Genomic DNA, 16,747 nt, shown 5'->3' with positions numbered 1-16,747 from the left:
GAGTCCAAGCTCACTGCTCTCTCCATTGCCTACAACATGACATGCTCTTTGGTAGCACTCAGCAGTGGAAACTTTACCATTTTATCCACCTTCTTAAAGGTTGAGAATTTACAAATTGTTTGTAATGGTTCTACTCTTTCAGAATCAAATCATCACATATATTCTATTTTATCTCCTGGGGAAATTTTAAAATGCTCAGAAGCATTCATGTATTTAAAAGTACTTCTTCTTCTTCTTCTTTTTTTTTTTCTTTAGACAGAGTCTCACTCTGTTGCCCAGGCTGGAGTGCAGTGGTACCATCTTGGCTCACCGCAACCTCTGCCTCCCAGGTTCAGGCAATTCTCGTGCCTCAGCCTCCCAAGTAGCTGGGACTACAGGCGTATGCCACTGTTTTTGTATTTTTAGTAGAGATGGGGTTTCACCATGTTGGCCAGGCTGGTCTTGAACTCCTGGCCTCAAGTGATCCACCTGCCTTGGCCTCCCAAAGTGCTGTGATTACAGGCATAAGCCACTGCGCCCGGCCCTATAGTTTGATTTCTAAAGCCACCATACCACCACCAGGGGATTCAGTCTCATGCACACGGGAATACTTTTAAAATATACTTACCTTGAGACATTTTCCCTCTCACAAATAATTTTTGGTATCTCTAGACTTTAAAAAAAATCACTTGTAAAATTATGCTCATGAGCCAATTATTCATTTCCAACTTCTGGTTGGTTGAAGATTCCTTTTGTGCAGTTTGCATGGAGCTGCTGTTGTTATGAAACACACCCACAAAGTCAGATTAACGGGGCTGAAGAAGAACAGACCACCAGAACCAATGCTAATGCATTCTTGAAGAAGGGAGAAAGTGCGTGCGTGCCGTGTGTGTGTGTAATGAGATATTCACAGTGTTTAATGCAAGATGATCAAATGTCTAAGTGTCATCCTCTAATTTCAAATGGAAAACTGCAGATTTTCTTCTGAAGCTGGCAGGCTGCCATCGCTGCAGGCCCTGAAGTGGCTTTGGGCTTCAGGGAGAGGGGGAAGCAGACGTCGCTCAAAGAGCCCTCTGCTTCTCCCTGGCTGCAGCTCTACCCTGGGTCTCCTGGCCTAAGGACGAGTTCCTCTGCCAGGCTTCCCAGGGACTTTCAACCTAAGCTGTCAAATAAATCATTTAAAGGATATGTGGACTTTAAGAACTATTGACAGAGGGAAGACATCCTAAAATAGTCTCTTTGATCTGAATTCTTCCTCATTACAACATTGATATAGAGCTAGGGTTTTGGATACCAGTCTTCTGCCCCCTCCATGTAACTTCTATAAAGAATATCTCCATTTCATTTGACTTGTTGTGAAAGTGGCCAAGAAAGTAAAAAATTAACATTTTTAAGGTAAAGATTCTAGGTCTGAATTATTTTTATATTTTCCTGCCCTTTCTTCCTGACGAGTATGACTTAACAACATCTACTTAGTCATTTCACAGCTATTTACGACACAAAATCCTCCTCCATTCAAGGAGGGCCCATCTTGTTACAAGAAAATATCAGCAACCAGAAATACAGCTCATGAGAGAAACTCTGGAGTCAGACCTCTGTGAAACAATAATAATGTCCATTTGGGTGTGCATGGCTTTTTTGTTTGTTGTTTGTTTTTCTTTTGACTTTTTTGGTGTGCATATTTGTTAGGCACTGCTGCAAGCAACTGACATACATGGTCTCATCCAGTCCTCAGGAGAATTCCATTGTTCCCGTTTGAAAGATGGGTAATTCGAGGCTTAGGCAAGCTACACAAGTCCAAGATCACACAAATGTTAAGTAGAAGAGCCAGGATTTTAGTGTTCTTAACCACTGCCCTATACTTTAAATTTTCAAGGAAAGTAGAATCAGCTCTTTTCTCTATAAGGAAGAAACACCCAATACAGCCTAGGATCCTAGTTTGTAGAACAGAGATATATTTCTAGTGAATTCCTAATATTTTCTAAACCCTTATCTTAAATTAAAACCAAATTAAGCAGCTCACTACCTAAAAATCAAAGGACAACGTGCTAGACTTGGAGCTTTTAAGTTTTTCAAAATTACCAAATATGAAAAATTGTATTTGCAAAAACATCAAACAGAACTCAAGTTCTAGAAGCACAAACCATTGAGCAAAGAAAATGGAAATCAGAGTAGGTTTAAGTAGGACAAATATTGTTCTTTGGAATAGAAACTTGTTGCTGAATCTCACCATGGAGCAAAAGACTTACAAACTTTTGAAAAAACAGGGTTCACATGGAAACAGAAACATAACAGGAACTATGATATCAAGACTGACAGATGCCATGTGTCTTCCTAATTCTTTTAAAAGCCATTCTTGGCTATTAAAATGTCAATGTAGGAATAATAAAATACCATTGATTCTAGTTTTCCAGGGGGAATGTTTATGCAGAGGTTTTAAAACTTTAGATGTATAAAAATTTACTAGCACAGAAGGCAGATATGTTGATAACTCCAGCTACTAAGAACTACAGCTCCAGTTACTAGGAATTGACTAGAAAACACTTAAAAAGATGGTAATCACACAGTCATGAGGACTACTTAATAATATAAATCATTATAGCTAACATTTTTTGAGTACTTACTATGTGCCAGGCACTATTTTATTTTTTATTTTTATTTTTTTTTTTTTTGAGACAGAGTCTCACTGTTGCCCAGGCTGGAGTACAATGGTACCATCTCAGCTCACTGCAACCTTTGCCTCCCAGGTTCAAGCAATTCTCCCGCCTCATCCTCCCAAGTAGCTGGGATTACAGGCGCCCACCCCCACACTGGGCTAATTTTTGTATTTTTAGTAGAGACGGGGTTTCACCATGTTGACAAGGCTGGTCTCCAACTCCGGATCTCAGGTGATCCAGCCACCTCGGCCTCCCAAAGTGCTGGGATTATAGCTGTGAGCCGCCGTGCCCAGCCAGGCACTATTTGAAACATTTTCTCTTTAAATTAATTCATTGAAAGCTCACAACAATTCTAAAAGGCAGATATTACTATCATCCCTACTTGAGAAAAATGAGGCACTGAGAGATGAAATAATTTTCAAATTCACACAACTAGTAAGGAGTGAAACTGGCATTTGAACCTAGACAGTCTAAGTCTGGGACTGGAACTCTTACTCTGTATGCTATAATAATTTCCGGTAGCAGAGTCCTGCATGCCAGGACAGGGACAGTCCCCACCTAACAACTAATGGCAGACATAAAACAGAAAATTCTGCCATGTTCATTGGCAAAGGTTCTTATAAACTAGATCCATGCTGCCTGTCTTTGAATGGATCACAGTCAAGGATTCAAAGCCTCCCATGTAAACTCCCAGAAGCATATACAAAGATGAAGATGAGGGAAGCAATAACTATACACAAAGCCTGTACCGACTTGGCTGGGAATGACTTCTAAACTATCACGCGACACAGCTTCCATTCTCTTGAAGCGCTGTTTGCATCTTTTGCCATTTTGCTCTGCCTCTCGAGGTAGTCATGAGGTCCCTGCCTCCTGACCTGGGCCACTCATGACTGTGCATTCCTCTCATAGCCTTGTGCAAAGATTTATGTATGATTTATGCATGATTGGTGCATGATTTATGAACATAACAACATGGGCCATATATGCTTTCCCAAGGGCTGGGTATCGAGCTGGCTCTGGAAGGAGGTGATGGGTGAGGATGTGCTTAGAGCGGGTGAGAAAGCAGCCAAGTGTTGGAGAACAGAGCCAGGCCAGGAGAGACGAAACACATGGGGGAGTGGTTAGCCTGAACCACGGAGCTGTGCTCCAGTGTGACCAAAGAGAGGGTGGTTACTGATGCAGGACCTCAGAGTCTATCCCAGGGAATTCAGAGATTATTCCAAGGGCAATTTGAATCACTGGCTGATCATTCAAAGGGTAGAAGGAAGCTGCTGTGGATTTTGTTTGCTGACACAAGAGCTTCCAAGTCCCAGAGTTAGAATGATCAGAGAGAGAAGCCAAAAGTTGAGAAGCGACTTCCAGGAAGCAGAGAGACACCAAATAAGTCACACATAGGTTTTTTGTTTGTTTGTTTGTTAATTTTTTGAGACAGAGTCCTGCTCTGTCACCCAGGCTGGAGTGCAGTGGCGTGATCTTGGCTCACTGCAACCTCCGCCTCCCAGGTTCAAGTGATTCTCCTGTCTCAGCCTCCCGAGTAGCTGGGACTACAGGTGTGCACCACCACACCCGGCTAATTTTTGTATTTTTAGTAGAGATGGTGTTTCACTACGTTGGCCAGGCTGGTTTCGAACTCCTGACCTCAAGTGATCCAACCGCAGGAACAGTTCCCTGAGGTCTACATATTAAATCCAAGCTCCTTATCTTGACATTTAAGGCCTTCTATGTTCTGACCTGGAACTTCAGCCATATGGACATCTCAACATTCCCCCAAATGTCATTTGCTTTCATTCCTCTGTGCCTTTGCTTATGCTAACGCCTGCCCTTGGATGGCCTTTCTACTGTTTTCTACACAGAGAAATCACCAATGCACTCGCTCTGACAGTGTAACTAATTAATTTCAGTTTGACTTAGTAGAAACTTCATGAGTTAAAAGAGACTGAAAGTGTGACAAAAGCAAGTACTTACTTTCTCTTGGCCTAAATTTCAGAGTTGAAAGTATCCTCAATGGTTTGGAAGGCTCCATTCAAATTCTGCTTACTCTATACTCTCCCTTAAAATTAGCATTTTTTTCCCTCTGATATTCATTTAGTAATTATTTAATTCTGCCTATTCATATTATACTTGCAGCATTTCTTTAAATTTGTCTTCTCTAGATCACATATGCTTTTTTTGAGGTCAAGGACAAGCCTTAGGAAAAATTCTTTTCTTTCCAGCATGCCATTAGTTTTCCACATAGCAGCTGCTCAGTGAATATTTATTGAATCATCAGCCCATGATCATATTATTCTAATTAAAATAAGAGGCTTTTATCAAATGATAATTACATAGTTAATTATGAAGAAATCTGGGAAAAGAGTTGTATTGTTGATCTGAAGTAAACTAAGAGTACAAGAGTCTATTAAATTCCATCAGAAAAGAGTGACAGATACAGTAAATTATTTTAAAGCATTATAGTCATTGCCATTATTTATAAAATGGGTTAATTTTGAGTTTACAAACATAAAATACTTTCAGTACATAAACACAACAAACATTAAGTTGTGATGTGCAATTTCTCTGTCTTTATTTTACTCATGCCTGAAGTTGCTAGGCCTTATATGGGGTGAGGTTAAAAATTCCTCACCCCATATAAAAAGTGACTTCAGTTGGGATTGACAGATGCCTAACCAGGCTTCCTCAAACTGCTCCCAGGCCTAACAAAGGAAATGGGCCATGTCCCAGCGGGACAGGAACCTGGATCCACCCCTGGTCTCTTGTTCCTTCAAGCCTAGGCTGGAAGTGAATGAGGAAACACAGTTTGGGTAGAACTTACAGTGGTTCAGTCATATTCTCTCCAATGGCTCCCCAAAACTTTTCCCAAGTCCTCAGTAAATATTTGGTGATTAACTGATTTTATCATCTGACATTTCTCCTAACATCATTGTTGAAAAAGAAAGTTGGCTGAGATTTACAATGACCCCTTCTCACAAGGTGGGTGGTTGGACTTGGGAAGGAATGAGAACCATTCTATTGATAGAAGAAGAGGCTCTTCCCCAGCTGACATAATGACGGAAATGGTGGTTTAGAAAAAATCTTAAAAATTGCTCAGAGATGATTATAGGCTGTCATTAAGAAATGAGGAAGGAAGGGCTTTCTTTTCGACTACAGGGTGTACAGCTCTACAGACAGAAATTATTATTTTATATTTAGGCCAATGGTAGTCTGTAGGCCTTTGAAATGTAAAAAGCAATAATAACTTAAGTATCTGGTTTGGCTTACAAAGCATCAAGACAGATTACACAGGCCATATATAAAAACCAGGCTCTGTCCTTTATAACATTATTTCACTCATCCCTGAAGTATAACTGAAAATAAATACCTTCCTAAGAGTCTCTTCACACTTAAGTTGTATTTAAATAACTTAAATATAAAAATACCAGTAGATTGAAAAATACTTAAAGGATTTCATGACCAGGTTGGAAGTTCAAGTGTATTAAAAGGAGAGAGAATGAAATAAAAGGGAATTAGAACAGACCATCTCATTAGTCATAAAAAGAAATGAACTTCTGATATGGATAGGTCTTGAAAATACTATACCAAGTGAAATAAGTCAAACAGAAAAGGATAAATATTAGTATTTCAGGTTTCTGAAGTCACTGCTATATTCACTGTGTGCCAACTCTGTGTAGGACAACCGCCATGGTGGATTTAGAGAGTATCAGGCCATGGAGATCTAACTGGGTTCATCATCCAGATGAGGGAGGACTATGGGGAAAGTGAACAATGCATGCGCTGGGTTGCGGAAGAGCAACACAGCCCACATTCCAGTGTTCACAGGAGGCAGGGATCTGTGAGCTGAAGCAGCTTTCCAAAAGCAGGAGAACAGAATTCCTGAAATCACACAGGCACGAAAATAACCGTGATTTCACTCAACAAACCAAATAACTTGTTTGCAACATAAAACGTGCAAATGTTTGTTCCTGATTAGATCTTTGAGAGAGTGAGTGGGGAAATCATCTCCAGTAAAGACATCCTATGATAATTTTCACTCCTAATCCAGAGTTTCATTTTGCACCCTTCCTCTCACATCCTCCACACCTTTTGGAATAGCTGAAGCCCAGGAAGGGCATGTCTTAGTGTGCTGAATGGCAGGCTACTCATACACAAATATATGCATGCTTACTTTATTTGGACAGAAGCACTAGAGAAGTATAGTTACATTTGATATTTGGAGGTGAAAACTATGAACCACTGAAATAAACCTCTATGTTCCGTTTCCTCACTCTAGTGAGGTATGAAAAGCCTTCTTGAAGTAGTAGCAGCTTCTGTTTCGGTTGACTGCTGTCAGTTCCTGAGCCCAGCACCGAGAAACAGTAACGATGTTGGTGGGGCCAAGATGTGGTGCAGTGTATGCTGCTTGGGTGATGGGCGCACCAGGATCCCACACATCTCCACTAAAGAACTTACTCATGTAACCAAATACCACCTGTACCCCCAATTACTTATGGAAAAATAAAATTTAAAAAAATCCAAAATAAAATAAATAACAGTTATGAGTTTAAAGAACCTGTCTCAAGTCACACTGTTGAGCAGCCAGGAGACTCCCATCACCCTCAGTAATAAACACCATCAAAAGGTCACTAAAGGCAGGAACTAGCCATTGTCAGATTTCCTGAGTTCACTTCTGACATGGTACAGTAAAATGCTTATAATATTCAACACATGGCCATTTTATATTTACCAATTCTATGGAGTGGGAAACAATTGCAACTATAAATTTTAATGTCAAAAGAAAATATTATTCCAGAGAATAAAGAACTAAAGCTCAAAGATCATATTACTTCTTCTTCTTCTGTTTTTCTTTTTTTTTTTTTTTTTGAGACAGAGTTTCGCTCTTGTTGCCCAGGCTGGAGTGCAATGGCACAATCTCAGCTCACTGCAACCTCTGCCTCCCGGGTTCAAGTGATTCTCCTGCCTCAGCCTCCTGTGTAGCTGGCATTACAGGCATGTGCCACCATGCACGGCTAATCTTTTGCATTTAGTAGAGACCACCATGTTGGTCAGGCTGGTCTCGAACTCCTGACCTCAGGTGACCCACCCACCTTGGCCTCCCAAAGTGCCGGAATTACAGGCATGAGCCACCATGCCCGGCCAAAATCTGTTTTCTGAAACATAAAAGTAAAACCTTAAGAATCATCCATCTGTCCATCTCAGGATAAATTTGTTAAGTATTTTTTCTATGCCAGGTCCTGGACTAAATGTTAGAGACAAAAAGATTTTTTTAACAAAGATTAACATATGGTTCCTGCCTTTAAAGAACTAACTGAAAAGAAATACCTTCCTAAGAGTCTCTTCACACTTAAGTTATATTTAAATAACTTAAATATAAAAATACCAGTAGGTTGAAAAATACTTAAAGGATTTCATGACCAGGTTGGAAATTCAAGTGTACTAAAAGGAGAGAGAATGAAATAAAAGGGAATTAGAACAGACCATCTCATTAGTCATAAAATGAAATGAACTTCTGATATGGATGGGTCTTGAACATACTATACTGAGTGAAATAAGTCAAACAGAAAAGGACAAATATTAGATAATTCCACTCATACAAAATGTCTAGTAAATTCCCAGAGGAGAATGGGCAAATTCATAGAGACAGAAAACAGATTAGAAGTTATCAAAGACAGGACAAGAGGAGAACAGAGTTACTGCTTAATGGTTACAGAATTTTTGTTTGGGGTGATAAAAAGTTATAAAAATACTGGTGATGGTTGCATAACATTGTGAATACAACTAATGCCACTGAATTGCACATTTAAAATGGTTAAAATGGCAAATTTTATGTTATGTATATTTTACCACAGCTTAAAAAGTAAATAATGTAATATACCAAAAACCATTGAATTGTACACTTTAAATGGTAAATTGTGTGGCACCTGAATTATATCTCAAGACACTGTTTTTTAAAAAATCTCTTACATGTTAGCATAGTTTTTACTATGTTTTTACTTTGTTACCTTGCAAAGCTCTGAATATTGTTACAGAAATTTGTCAAATTTATCAGGAGAGTATGAGATAAGAGAGAAAATGTTAGATTAAATGGTTGGGCTTGGTGGCTTATGGCTGTAATCCCAAAGAGAGAAGGCCTCTTTGGGAGGCCAACGCAGGTGGATCACCTGAGGTCAGGAGTTCAAGACTAGCCTGGCCAATATGGTGAAGCCCTGTTTCTACTAAAAAATACAAAAATTAGCCAAGCATGGTGGAGCATGCCTGTAATCTCAGCTACTCAGGAGGCTGAGGTATGAGAATCACTTGAACCCGGGAGGCGGAGGTTGCGGTGAGCCAAGATCACGCCACTACACTCCAGCCTGGGTGACAGAGTGAGACTCCTTCTCAAAAAATAAAATAAAAAAAAAAACAAAGGAAGAAAATGTAAGATTAAGAGTCTGGGACATGTGATTCCAGGCCTGCTTTGCCACTTTATTGACTGTGCTGCCTGAAGCTCAGTAATCAACTTCCCTGAGCTCTGTTTTCTCATCTGAGAAGCAAAGGAGCAAAATCAGATGATTAATTTTTTAAATACTGTGATTCGCACTTCTTACGGAATGCCTAGGTTTTACAAATAATCACTCATCCTTTGGCAGTTAAGAACATAGAACAGCCTTGTCTCGTTTGGATACCTGGTTAAATGACAAATTTACTATTTTGCAGTGAATACTTATCAGGCTATTTTCAAAAGAGTTTCTTGGCTGGACTCTTCTTGAATATAGCCAGCCTGAAAAGTATGGCTGGAAACCACTGTCCAAACAAAACAGATGATAACATTTGTTTTTTATACCTCTTAAAAGTAGATTAGCTATAGATCAGAGCATGCCGCTGCCTAAAAAAATGTCTGGTATATATTTGCTTTCAATACATATTTGTTGAAATGCAAGAACACTCGTGTTTACTCCCTAGGAGACTCTCAGGGCGTGGGGTCAGATGAGAGCATGGAGGGGCAGCAGGCCAGCTCTGAGAGCCCCTGGGAGTCTATGACTTCTATGCTCAGACTTGCTTCCTCAGCTGGCACTGTGTTCCTCCCATGGGTCCATCGTCGGCAAGACCAAAGAGCTCCCTTCTAGTAAGTACCATTAAGGAGTCCAAGGTCCAGACAGAAGAGAACGAGGTCAGGTATTTCCAAAGTATTTCATTCTAATGAAAATTTATTTCAGAAAAAGGCCATAATAACCCTTTGAACTAAGTTAACAAGAAAGCTATATTTTTGTCACTAGTTCTATTGTTGCCTCAAAACGATAGTAACAAAACAGAAAATAAAAAGAATTACTGAGAAAACCCAGAAATTAAGTACTCTCCACATCTCCCATTCCAGACATAATAAAGTGATGCAATTTAGACTAAAATTTGCCAAAAGCCAGTATACCTTTTTCATCCTACTAGGCAAACACAAATACCACAGAACAAGAATTCCATCTTAAAGTAAAAGCTCTGGAAAAAAAGAAGGTAGTAATAATCTTTTACTATGTGACTACTGAAGGTATTACGTGACTACTGAAGTCTTTGATTAGGAAAGGAAAATAGACCTCCCACAAGTAAAATTAGTCACAATTTATGATAACCTGAGGAAAAAAACAGATTCTGGATTTGTCAATTCCATTTGAAGGTGGAGAAAAGCTTATAAGCTCATGATCACCCTCTGAACCCTTTACAAAGGGCCACACAATCACATCAAGGTGTCAAACATACCCTGAATTGCAATTCCATCTTGGCTCGGTCGGATAAGAAGTTTTGACTCAGCCCTTTGAGGAGAGCTTCGATTCCTCCATCCTCTGACCAAAGCCCCCACCATAGCTGCTGGCAGCATGCTCCCCAGGTCGCCGTGGTCCTGCCTTGGTGGGTGGGGGGCCCGGTCAGGCTGTCACCGCAGGAGAATCATGTCCTCCTTGCAGGTGCTACACCCAAGGCTGACAGGTCCGGGCAGTTCCTCCCGCCCTCATCTCCCGCCCACATTCTCATCCTTCTTGCGTTATCAGACCTCCCTCGGGAGGCCCAGGGAAAGAAAGCTTGGGAGGTGAGACAAGAGAAAAACAGACAACAGGAAACATAAAAATGAAGAATAGGAATAAAGTCAATCAACAGAAGAGAAAGGCCAATATCATAAAAGCACAGTCTCCTTTATATGAGTGATCATTCTCGATGCTTCATTTTTTACTTAAAGTCTAATTTTTCAACAAGCAAAAATGACCACGTGTGGGAGGGCTGAGGCGGGGCATGTACCTGCATACCTATTTCTCTTTTCTCAGACTATTTTCCTTGCTAAATTGGAAGAGCTTTCAGGCATTGTTTTTCCAAAGAGAACCATCTTCTACATAAACAGAATTTGTTTACAATATAAGAAAAGTATTTCTAATGTTTGGAGTGTTCACAGAATTATACTGGCATTTGAGAATGACGAAAGTTGGTTAAGAGATTTAATAAAAATCCGAATCAAGTAAACTCTCAAAGACTTTTAAAAGATGAATCGAATCCAATGACCTAATTAGCTCTCCTGTGGAGCCCAGGTAGAGGTGCCTCATCCTGACCAGCTGGTGCCTGAGCTGAGCTCATACACAACACTGCTCCCGTGTGCCCCCTACTGGTCAGGTGCCAGGTGCACACTGGGCAGTGACCAATGACTGCATTGAAACAGGGGGAGGAGCAAGTAGCTCTAGAAAGTTCTAGAATCCCTTGGCCATCTCTGTATGCTATAGTCATTCAGCCTAGGTGGTAGAAGTTGAGATTGAATTGGCTGTAGGCAGCCTGAGAGGTTTTGGTATCATTTACTGTTGTTATGACTTTTACGGGTTACACAGATGGAATGATCCATGCCTGATTTCACTCTTTTTTCCCCCCTTCCCTAGTTACATCTTATTTAATTTAATAAGATCAAGATAGTTTCTGCAGGAGGTAGGCAAATTCCCCGTATCACCTAAAACTGATCACATTTAAATAAAACTACAATTTACCAAAGAAAGAGTATTCTGAGGATACACACCTTACATATTCATTTTGTTGACATTTACCTTATTATTTTGACCTTTCCAAAATTCAGAAAACCTTTAGTATCACTGTGGTCAGAGAGAAAGTCGAAATGCAGGATGGGATTTTAAAATGGTAGAAGAGTAGGAAGCTATTGGCTCTATTCTCTCCACACCCCAATCTCAGGGCGGGATTCCTGCAGCACCATCTCAGAGGGGCAGCCCTTGATGAGAGACACATGTCCTGGGCCTCCTTGTTGGGTGCCTCTCCTTCCTCACTGGAGTGGGATTCCTCTTTTCCACGGGAAGCTCCTTCTGCCACAGAGGGCTGAGCTGGGCTCAGATGGGTTCAGCGGATTGCTGCTCAGGGGCAAAGCCACCTACTCTCTAGGGAAAAGGGCAAAGAGGCCTTCAAAATCTCTGTTCCTGTCACACCCAGAGTCAATAAAACAGGCTGAAGCTGTCTTCTGCTGGGGCCACGCCCTGTGGGAGTGGGGTGGCATCAGGGAAGAGAGCAGGGGAGCCCAGTGCTCAAGTGTGGGGTTTGGTCCTGTCTTGGAAGAGGGGGTTAAGGAGAGATCTTGAAGAACGGCCCAGTGTCACTCATTGGAGACAGGATCAGGAGGTGGGAACACAGCTGTGCATTCACCTGGAACCATCTCTTTGGAACTTCGTGTTCCACTGCAGGAAACTGCAAGGGCTGAGAATTAGGAGTGGTAGGGAGTTGAAGAGAGCCTCTATCAAGAGAAGCAGAAGCAACTTTGACCCCATCCTTAGGGTGAAGTGGCAGAGAAAACGCAGCGATGCTGAAAGCACACACGTGCTTCCTTAACCGGACCTGCTGCGGGTGAACCACGCCTTTCCCGGAGATGCAAAGGGAAGCAGCTCAACAGCAAGCCCATGAAGTCATTTCCCCCCATCCCAAACCTGTCTTATTGTAAGATACACCCCAACCCCCCGCCATGAAAAGGGACACACTGAGAAAAGAAACACATCTAAAGGACTCGGTATGAAGGCTATTAAAAATCTACTAACACCCTCCTAGTGGTGCTCTTCTTGGAGGCCTCGATCATTACTGCTGCCACAGATCCAAAAATCCTCATCCCCCATGGGCCAATCAGAAGTCCAAGGGGAGACACAGGGTTGGCCAGAACCATTTCGGAAGCACAGCAAACTGCCCAAATTCAGACACTGAAACCCCTGCACAGCTGCTGCCATCAGCCACCAGACAGCATATGGAGGTATGTGAGAAAGTAGGCAGATGGAGCCAGTTGAAATTTCAAATACTAGTCCCCAAGCCGCACCTGGATTTCCCACGTAGGAGAACCTCCTTTGTGCATTCGTCATTCCCGAAACAGCCAATCACAGTACTTCTCGCACTTTGTTGCGATGATTTACTTGCTACAGTTTGTCTCACGCAACTATCTATCCCCAAGCCTCAGGGGGCACTTAATGGGATGGAGATTCCCAGGACTTGCTCTGAAATGGCTGTTCTATGAGGTCTAAGATAGTGCCAGGGAGCCTGCATTTTCTAACGCTTTCCACATTTGCTTACATTGTCAGCCTGGATCTAAGGATAATATGAAGATGCCAATTTACTAGCCTGAGGGCTTCTTGAAGTCATGGACCACAGCCTTCTTTGTGCCCAGCATAGCGTATGTACCCAGCACATAGACTGTTGGGTGAAGACAGTCCCAGAGGCCAGGGACATCTACCTGCGGTCTCCGCCCGAGGAGGCTGCCTGATACTTTTATCCTTCCATGAAACCCACTACTTGCCACTGCCCTTGCCACCACCCTGGCTGCAGGTGCCAAACCATAGGATCGCTCCATCTTACCTCCATCCCAGGCCCCTTCAATATTCCCATATTTCACTCGCCTGTGATGCTTTGGCCCAGAACACGATTTGTCCAGGCAGCAGTTTCCTGCCTCTTCCGCCCCACCAAGAATGGCTCCATCTTTCCTTCAGACGTCCTATGCCCTGGATACTAGCGCAGAGGGGTCCGTGTGTCAACTCAGGGTTCAAGTTGAACAGCATCATTGAACACTCTGTCATCCTTAGTTTGCCAGTTATAGCAGGTGGATGCACAGTGTCCAAGGTTTTCCCCAACAGGAAGCTAAGTGATGACCGTGACTGCTGTGGGAACAGCAGTGGTCAGGAAGAGGAAGAAGGGTAATGTCCTGTCTGGGAGGTCAGCGCCACCCTTCCACACACACACACGTGCTTCCTTCACCGGACCTGCTGCGGGTGAACCACACCTTCCCCCGAGATGCAAAGGGAAGCAGCTCAACAGTGAGCCCATGAAGTCATTTCCCTCCGGAACCTGTCTTATTGTAATATACACCCCCTCTCCTCTCAAGAAAAGGGACTCACTGAGAAAGGAAACACATCTAGAAAACCAGAATCATCCTGAAGGCTGTTTAAAGACCAGTGTGGCTCACAACAAACTTTCGTTCATGGGTGTTTGTTGCTAATGTCCTATCATGACGAGTTGACAACTATTCTCTAAATTTCATAAATATAAATACTGTCCCCATCTGCCCTCTACAGAGGATAAGGTTGACTCGGGCCATGTGTCTCTCTGGAGTCTCTTAGGGCCTAATGTGGTTCTGAGCACAAAGAACACATGCCAATTGAAGAAACGTGTGTCAAGCTGTGATGATGTAGTTGTCAACTGTTAAGATGCGCACGAAGCCATCAGCATTAAGTATGACATCCAACCCTGTAGCAAATACTTGACCTCCTACTATAACGTCAGGGAGGAGTCTTGGGGTAAGGGTGGGGCTGTGTGTGGCATGTTTCATCCTCACTCCTGCTGTTCTCTCATGTGGGTGGTGCTCCAGGAGCTCCTGGTCTCTCTTTAACCCGCATATGCCTCTCTTGGGGGCAGGACTCAGGAATTAGACTGGCATGCATAGGAAGGGAAAACTGGGCAGGCATGATCTGGCTGCACTCTTGCTTTCAGGGCACAGAGCTGCCCACTGGTAGCACCTGCTTTGCCTCCCTCCTGCAGGTGCAAGGTCTGCTCCCGTGTGTGAAGGGCTGCTCAGGTCAGCCTGCCATCTAGGAAGTTTCCGATTCTGAGTTCGGTATTAGGATGGCTGCACACCCAGACATGAGACACAATCTCCGATGTCAGCTTATCAGCAATAAAGGTGAGAGTTTAGTCTCCCTCTGCCTTCCTGCTTGGTTTCAAATTCTCAAACTGGGCAGAACCTGGCCGGGTGGAAAGGGTCTTCACTGCCCTTTCCCCAAGCCTCCATGTCTGGTGGACTGGCTCAGGGACATGCACTTGAGGAACAAAATGACCCCCGGAGATGGTGGCTTCTGACAGATGCGGCACTGTGGGTGTGGGCCATTGGTTTCTCATGTGGCCACTCGCAGCACAGTGTTTTGTGCCACACTTTGCTTTTGCAGTCTTGCAGGTGGCCTTTATCGTGGCCTGGTAAGCAGCTTTAGTGCACTTTTTACTTTGGCAGCTGACTCAGCTGCTGACAACTTTGCCACAGGTGAGTGGCTCTTTCTGGAGTGTCGCTGGGCCTGCCAGCACAAGGCCCAGACATGCAGGCTCAGGCCTCACCATGCACAGAGGCTGCATGGCCTCAACAAGGTGGTCTTAGCCTAACTGTGGGGGAAGGGGGAATTTAGGGAGCAGGCATCACGCTTGCCCCTCATCAGATGTACTGAGGCAGAGTCAACTGTAGGTAAAGCAGAGTCTTTGTGTTAATAGGCTTTTTAGAATCGGGGTGGAGTCATATTGCAAAGCACCATGCTCTGTGCACACTGCAGAGTGGGGTTTAGCTTTAAAGGATCACTGCCTGGAGCATTCAGCCATACTTCATCAGCGGCTGCAAATTCCATTCTGTACTCAAGGCCAAAAAGAAATTGAGGAGCGGCAAAGTTTGGGTTCAGGAAGCTCATTCACAGGTTTCAGGGTCTCCCTGCACTACAGGGCCTCAAGTTGGCTCCGAATCGCTGGGTTCTCTCAGACACCACCGGGACTCTGCTCCTGGCTGCATTTAGGGAAGGATAGCTGTGCAAAGCTGACTACTCCAGGGGATGGGGAAAAAAGGTTTTCTAAATTTGGAGGATGTGGAATCATCTGTGTATATAGAATTCTCAATACAAAGAACATGGAGGAAATTCTACAACTCTTTTTTTAAGAAGGGAAATAAAAAAAAAGACGATCTACTATTATCCTTTCTTTTTTTTTTTTTGAGACAGAGTCACGCTCTGTCGCCAGGCAGTGGCACAATCTTGGCACACTGCCACCTCTGCCTCCTGGGTTCAAGTGATTCCTCTGTCTCAGCCTCCCGAGCAGCTGGGACTACAGGCACACGCCACCACGCCCAGCTAAATTTTGTATTTTCGGTAGAGAGGGGTTTTCACCATGTTGGTCAGGATGGTCTTGATCTCTTGATCTACCCGCCTCAGCCTCCCGAAGTGCTGGGATTACAGGCATGAGCCACCACGCCCGGCCTATTATCCTTTCTTTTCTCCAAGTGATAACCACTACCCAGGCTGAATTGTTCTGAACTGGATGTTGCACAAAATTCACCCGACCACTCGCTAACTCCCATGCTGTCTTTACGGTCCTCAGCATTGCAGTGGCCATATATATGAGAAAAGCAGGGGAAACACCAATGCATGTATGGTTTCTGCTAAAATAAGTTAATCCATGAAAAATGTAATTGTAAATTCATATAGAATTTGGACTCTATATGAGCATTATGCCTAGAGATTACTTCCCAAGGGCACCTCCTCTTTGTCTGTCCTAATGGTGGGAAAATGTGCTTCAACTTGCCCATCTAAGGCAACTTTCCCATGATTCTCAGTGTGTCCTCCTCCAGCTGTAGCCCTCTTCTTCCTTCAAGTGTAAAAGCTACAAATGGGTTATCTGTACTCACTGTCTTCATCTCTTCCCCAACTCGCTCCAATCTAGTCTCTTCCCCGCTTCACCGCACACATCCCCAACCAAAACAGTTACCTGTAATATGATGCTGCTTAACCCAACTGGTAATTATCAGTCTCTTCTGCGTATAACATCTTGGAAACATCTGACACTTCTGGCCACTGTTTTCATACTAAGCACTGTCCCGCTTTGGGGACCATGGCCCC

The 16,747-nt window shown here is 43.1% G+C and overlaps 1 protein-coding gene across 6 annotated transcripts in view, besides 1 other annotated feature; it reads right to left on the bottom strand.

Annotated features, from left to right (window-relative positions):
- Positions 1-16,747, bottom strand: part of PLEKHG1 (pleckstrin homology and RhoGEF domain containing G1) — a 243,781-nt gene that overhangs the window by 146,317 nt on the left and 80,717 nt on the right. Inside the window, exon 1 of one of the 6 annotated variants that reach the window (NM_001329800.2) lies at positions 13,467-13,702. The exons of 4 other annotated variants lie outside the window; for them this stretch is intronic. Coding sequence is in view for 1 of the 2 variants with exons in the window: in NM_001329798.2 (NP_001316727.1) it covers positions 13,508-13,586 (79 nt within the window). In the remaining variant the exon portion in view is untranslated. Of the gene's footprint in view, positions 1-13,466; positions 13,703-16,747 lie in introns of those variants that run through there. One more of the 6 variants, NM_001329798.2, reaches the window with a different exon arrangement.
- Positions 6,868-6,967: a silencer, noted in NCBI's record as "silent region_17680". NCBI's record gives its function as "represses an Ori minimal core promoter by ATAC-STARR-seq in GM12878 lymphoblastoid cells {active_cell/tissue: GM12878}" and the evidence as "EXISTENCE:reporter gene assay evidence [ECO:0000049][PMID:35858748]".

The sequence above is a fragment of the Homo sapiens genome, chromosome 6, assembly GCF_000001405.40.
Source record: "Homo sapiens chromosome 6, GRCh38.p14 Primary Assembly".
In the NCBI taxonomy this organism is placed as follows: Eukaryota; Metazoa; Chordata; class Mammalia; order Primates; family Hominidae; genus Homo; species Homo sapiens.
The sequence above is the reverse complement of the archived record's forward strand: the minus strand, read 5'-3'. Positions and strand labels throughout refer to the sequence as shown.